Consider the following 6,748-nt stretch of genomic DNA (forward strand, 5'->3'; position numbering starts at 1 on the left):
TCTATTCTTGTACCCATTCGACCCCCAGACCTCTCATTCCCGGACCTCTCCACACTGAGCTCTCAACACCCACACAAAAGGGCCTTGTGTGGTATTACTGGAGATGCCCAATGCAGCTTTATCTCACTGCCCCCACCCTTCCCGGGAGCCTTGGCATGCACATTGCCCCAGCAGGTGCAGGGGACAGGAAGAGAGGGGCTGGGGACCAGACAGGGGGCAGAGGTCAGATGGAAACATCAGCCTGCCTTCCTCCGCTGCTACCCCGCTGCCCGGCCTCTTTCACAGTCTTCTATCCTAACCCCTCCCTTCTCTGTTTCTCTCCTCTCCTCCTCTCTGTCCCTCCCCTCGCTGGGCTTCAGAGTGGTATGGACAGCCTAGAGACAGATCCGGATTTATTCTTGGAAAACACGTCCATGGCAGAGGGTACCACAGCAACAAGTTTCCATGGTACTTGGACACAAGGCAAATATGGCACAGAGGAGAGATTCCTGGACTCTGAGTCAGAAGACCTGGGTCCTGTCCCTGCCTCTCCTCACCACCAGTGCCTCCTTAAGCAAGTTGCGTAACCTCCCTAAGCCTCGTTTTTTTACAAATGTCCAACCACTCAATCAACAGTCTGAACAAACCAACGTGTGCCAAGCACCTACTGGGAGCTGAGCACTTTACTAGGTGCAAGACAAGTAACACAAACATGGTTCTTGCCCTCACAGTACGTACAGCTAAGAGACAACAGGGTTGCTCAGAAGAATTAGTGAGCTAAGAGGTTAGTATGGCAGCCAGTCCGCAGCAAGTGCTCAAGAGGTGCTATGCACAGGAGGTCTACCAGAAGCCCAGTGAGGAGAGCGCAGCCGGACCTCCATCTGCCCTGTGGGATGTGGTTGCAATGGCCCTGACTAGAATTAGAGGGTGGTGCTTAACCTCTGACCTTGTCTGCAGCCCAGTGTCTGTTCTAGGTGGTTAAAGACAAGGGGAAAACATGAGATAGAGGATAGAGAGGACTGCCCAACCCGGCGAGGCCTGGCTGTCAAGGATATTTGGGTGTGTATGAATGAGAAGGGTGTGTTCCTGGGGGCAGGGTGAGAGGAATAAACATAATAACGGCACCTGTTTGAGAAAGGAGAGTTGATCCAGAGCCCTGACTGGGGAGGGCTCAGAAGCTGGACTCCCTCCCCACTCCCTTTCTAGGAAAGCAACTTGGAAAAACAGAGCCTGGGCCTTGGTGGTGGGCACAGCTGCCAGGGGAGCCTGGGGCAGTGGTGGGGGCGGGGTGCGTGTGGGAGGAGGCCAGTGGAGGCACTGAAAAGAGAGTCTCATGGGGAATCCGGGACAATGAGCTGATGGAAGGGGGAATATGGGGAGAAGGAGACGGAGGGGCTGGCTCTGCGAGGGCTGCTCTCCTGGCAGCTTCCCAAGGTTAATTGAGGGGCACCGAGCAGCCTCTGCAACATTCCAACAAGAGGGAGGCTGGTTTGAAAAGAGCATTTGCTGTGGGGAGAAGGGGCCTTTCTCTGCCCTGGGCTGCTGTCCCTTTGTGGAGGTTCTTTGAGGCATGAGCCCTGTGAAAAAGCAGGGACTGAGGAGGGGCCAGGGTGGATGGTTCACCATTCATCATCCAGGCCAACGGGCTGCTCTTGGCAGAGAAGAAGGGGTCAGTGGCTGGTTCAGCCACCCTCAGCCCTGAAATGATGGTAGCTGGGAAATCTCTGTACACGGAATTCCACCGAGTCTGACTCTAACATGATTTATGGGCATTTAGAGAAGGGCACGAAGGAAGAGAAGGGGAGGAGGCTGAGTATCAGCTGAAGGACAGGCAGGACAGGCAGTGCCCTTGGGGGGATCAGGAGTTGGCAGTGTAGAAGAAAATGTTGACAGTTTTTCAGAGACCTGTGTCTAGGTTGAAGGGTTTGGCATAATCAGAAATGCCCAGGCTTTTACCATATGGTGTGCTAACATAACTAAAACCCACGTGTTTCCACAAACACACACACAAGCAACATGCTGCACACACAGACATTGTAGGAACACACACACGTATGCAAAATCACACGTACAGAGGTCCACACACCAATGTGGGCCCTCCTGCGCACACACTCACACGCAGAATCTCTTCAGATAACCACACATATGTTATCTTCACCATCTGCTCCCTCTGGAGCTGCTCGTATGTGCAAGTGTGTGCCACATCCTCACGCATCGCGAGGCTAACGTGGGTTGTGTGCAGGTAGGACGCGTGAACACACGTGTTCATGTGCAGGTGGGCCTCGTGCTCTCCCACACCAGAACTCCTGGCATAGACGTACCCAGGACACCCTTCTCGTCTTGCCTAAAGCAGGTCCCAGGGAGACTTGTCCCCCCATACCCACCTTCTCCACCCCTGCTCCGGTCCCAGCGTCCAGGCTGCCGATGCCTCACGCAGTCCCGGCCTCCGGGGCACCCCCGGGTCCCACCCGCCCGGGCTACAGGCGCTGGGGAGCGACCGTCAGCAGGTGGCGCCGGCGGGAGCCTCGCGGAACCGACTGGCAGAAGGAGGACAAATCCGGTTTCCGCGCGGAAATGCGGCCATGCCGGCTAGTGCCTAACCCTCCTCACTGTGCTGAGACCGAGCCCCGGAATGATCTACCGAGACCACCAGGCCAAAGAACGCCACTCCCAAGAGAGAAGAGACAAAGGACAAGATCCTGCCCCTGGGAGGAGACAAGAGGCGCAAGATCAGGGACAGGAAAGCGGCGGGGAGCAACGAACCTCTTCTGCGGGGTCAGCCAGGGGCCCGGGTGTGTGTGCTTGTGTTCCGTGTGCACCTGGCTCAGTGTCTGCATGCACATGTGAGCGCTGCACCCTCATGCAGGGCGCTACCCGTGTGTCAGTGGATATGGAAGAAGGAGGTGTGAAAAGCTTTGAGGACACAGGTGTGTGTGCGTGCATGCGTGTGTGAGTGTGTGCATACGTCCCTGCGTGTCTGCACATACGGCTGCGTACAGGGCGACTCACGGAAAAGGTAAAGATGAAGCCAAGAAAACTAGACCTCACAACTGCAGTACAGCCAGCACCCCACAGACCACAGTCGTTAGCCTCCCCCACATACTCCCCACACCACGCACACTCCAGGGACACACACTCGCACACCACCCACGCAGACAGGTGCTGTGCCACCCCATAGAGACCTGCCACCCACACACTTTCTCACATACACGCAGGCCAGTAGAGAACCTAGAGATGCATACAGATACAGCAACGGCACACCGGCTGTGTGTGCACATGCACGCGTGTGCACTCACACACATGCTGCGCTGTACCTGTAGATCCGTAGTGCCCCACACGCCCAAGAAAGGGAGAGAGGTTTAGGATGGACAGATGACTCTCATCCTGTAAAGCACCCTGGTTTCTGAGCCTCTGGAAATCAGAGAGACATGTGGCATCAGAAAGCCCCTTGTCTGAGGATAGGGGTGCAGGGGAGTGAACAGAGAGCCTTGTACACACACACCCGTGTGCCCCAGGCTGGGGGCAGTGGTGGTCCAGCCGAGTCCTTCAGCACTGTGGACAGCGCCTCCATAGCAGGGCTGCGAAGCCTGGAGCAGTTCTCAGAGGTGCAGGACACCAGAGGCCGCTTACCTGCATCCAGAAGACCAGCTAAGTCAGATATATTCAAGTCCAACCCTGTTGACCCAGGAGTCTTATAAACAGGGGTTGAAAATACCTACCTCTCAGGGCTGTCGGGATGATCAAATGACTGGAGACCATACAGCACCCAGCACTGTGCCTAACATGTACTAGAGAACACTGTCAATATCGCTAACAACCACTCTGGCTCCCAGCCCCAGGCACTTCCAGGCCAGGAGATGAATAGTCTGTGCAAAGCATATTGATTTCCTTGGTGACACAGCATTGCCATGTTGCGGGACCATAAGCCAGGAGATCTGGGTTCATGCCCCAGTCTTGCCAAATTTTTGAGATGTAGGCAGGTTACTCACCCCATGTGAGTCTCAGTTTCCTGTCTACTAACCTGGAATAATCACCATAATAATACTAACACATATTGAGCTTCGTGAACGCCAAGTCCTGTTATAAGCACTTTACAAAGATTAAATCCTTGAATCCTCATGACATTAAATGGAATGATCTGTTACTATCCTCACTGTATAGAAGAATAAACGAAAGCACTTGCCTAAGATCACACCAATGGTAGGAGTAGAAACTGAATTGGAACCCAGGCAGCCCGCCTCCAGAATCTGTATTCTCAGCCATGACACTGTGTGACCTCCTTCGTGGCATGCCGTGTGCATCCAATGACGTCATGGGTCTAAAAGGAGCTTGAGGACTGCACAGCATTATACGAATGTTAGGGTATATTGTTATGCATCCCAGCCTAGCTCATGTATGAGTAATTGTGCAAGGAATGAGAACCGAAATGAATACAGGAAACCGGGTGGGGACGGGTGCCATCTGGGACTGGCGCATCACACCAAGAAGGGAGAAATGGGTAGAAGATGGGCCAAGAGGGGTGGGCAGGCATATGCACCCTCGCATGGCTTTTGACTCTCTCCTTAGTCAGTCCGTGACTAGCTAAGAGGTCAAAATAGTTTCTAGAAAATTAAGAAGATAATTTCAAGTCACCCTGAAATCCTTCTAATCCTTCTCTTAATTATAACTTTTGTCTCACCTGACATCTCTCTTCTCCTTCCAACCCCTAAAGCTGTATGCTGTCCGTTTATCCCTCTGCTCCTCCCGTCACCACCCCTCAACCACCTTCCCTCATGTGAAACCCGTCACCAGGTCTGTGACCTATCTGAGAATCACTATGCTAGGAGGACCGGTGTTAAGCCGAGTCATCCTAGGACAGGTCCCAGAAGGACAGTCAGGAGGGTTCTGTGGATTCAAGAAGGTACTTCTGATGTTTCAAAGTAGTTCTTGGATGTGGAGACCGAGAACTACTTTGCAGATTACTTTAGGCAAAGGAGACCTCTGGGCACTGCTAGGTCCCCGACCAGCCTCATCCTATGACCTGCTGCTTTCTGTAGAAGGTTCTCTGATGCTCAGAATGGAATCATTTCACTTACATAAGCACACACCCCATCTTTTTGGAAGCCCCATACCTCTCATGCTTGGTTGGCTGCTGTGCAGGGCAGAACAGTCACTGGCCAGGGACGGAGGGGCTTTCAGACCCTCATTTTACCCCATCTCCTATGCTGTCCCAATCTTCCTTTTCTTCCCAGAATCCCAGGCAGTCTTCCCAGCCCTGAGCTGGTCCCCCTTCCTTCCCCTCCTTGCTGATGAATCTGTTAGGACAGAATTCTTCCCTTGTGCTCCTCACGCTGGCAAATGATCTCAGGCGTTTAACAGCAATGGCTGTGAATCTGTCACCATTAGCAGTCAGTGAAGGCACCCAAGCACTCTGCTCTCTGTTTTGTTCTTACTCGTTTTCTGTCTCCTGTCATGTTCCCCTCCTGTTTCCTGAACCTGCGCCCCCCGACCCTCCACTGCCTAAGAAAGATGCAGCTGCTTCTCTTCCAAAGCCCATAGAACAAGAGTCTTAAGGAGCCTCAGAACAGCCCGGGTTTTCAAGAACGGTCATTTGGTCCTTCCATCTTCACTCTTCACTCACAGCAGAGATGGCCCCACTTCTCTCCTACCCTACCACAGGCAGGCGGGATGCCAGGCACTCAGGCTTCCCTGTAGCAGCCCCTGCCCTGAGCTGGTACTACCTGCTTCCTGACATCTCTCTGGGTTTCCACCCCCTAAAGCTCTGTTTCTGTTCCGCCAAACCAGGCTCATGGACCACCGGTGTCAGGATCACCTGGAGCACATGATAAGAACTCAGCTTCCGGACTTCACCTCAGATGCCCCCAGACCTGCTGAATCACAGCCTGGAAGCAGGGCCCGAGAGTAGAGCCTCTGCAAAGCCCCTGAGGCTCAGGCACAGCTTGGGGAGCCACGGCCCTTGTAGGAGCAGGGACCATACTCCAAACCACAAACCTTCTCTCCAGATGACCAGGTGTCCTCAGACACACACAAGCTCTGTGACCTGTTGCTAGAGGAACCCCTGTGCTGGCCGAGCTGGGCCTGAACTGTGAACCAGGCTCTGCCAATCACTCATTATGGGAACCCTAGCAAGTCACCTTGCACATGTGCCTCCATTTCTGCAGCCACAAAGTGGGGCTTGATACTTGTTATCTCGTCTCATGATTATGATATAAGGTTCAAAGGAGAAAAGAAAAATGGAAATTTGTTGAAAGGCAAGTTGAATAAATGACGTGTGATTCTATTATCATGTAAGAGACGCCTGGTGGTGAAAGACACGGTGTCTGTCAGGAGATGCTGTTCCCATCACGCTGTAGACCAGCAAACAAGCAGCGTGGCCTCCACCCCAACACTCCCTGTGGGCTTTTCTCGGAGCTTGTCCTGAGCCCAGGAAAGGAAAGGAGGCTGTGCTGGGCATCAAGCACTCACATGAAGAGTCCCGGAACCTGCTGAATGAGGCTTTGCTCCGCCCACGCTGCCCCCATCTGCCCACAGGCCTGCAGCCCCTACCAAGAGCAGTGGGCCCAGCCCTCTGCATCGGCTCCTCTCCCTCTAATTACTCTTCACACACTCTGGTGCCAGGCCCTCCAACCAAATTACAATTGATTCTTCACTCCTCTTGGATCAATGCCATCGACCCTGGAGCATGGAGGACAAACCCAAACTCACCCTCTAGGAACCAATGGCCCAAGGCAAAGCCCGGCAAGAGACCTGCACGTGCAAACTTGGAATG

This window comes from Homo sapiens, chromosome 11 (genome assembly GCF_000001405.40).
Source record: "Homo sapiens chromosome 11, GRCh38.p14 Primary Assembly".
In the NCBI taxonomy this organism is placed as follows: domain Eukaryota; kingdom Metazoa; phylum Chordata; class Mammalia; order Primates; family Hominidae; genus Homo; species Homo sapiens.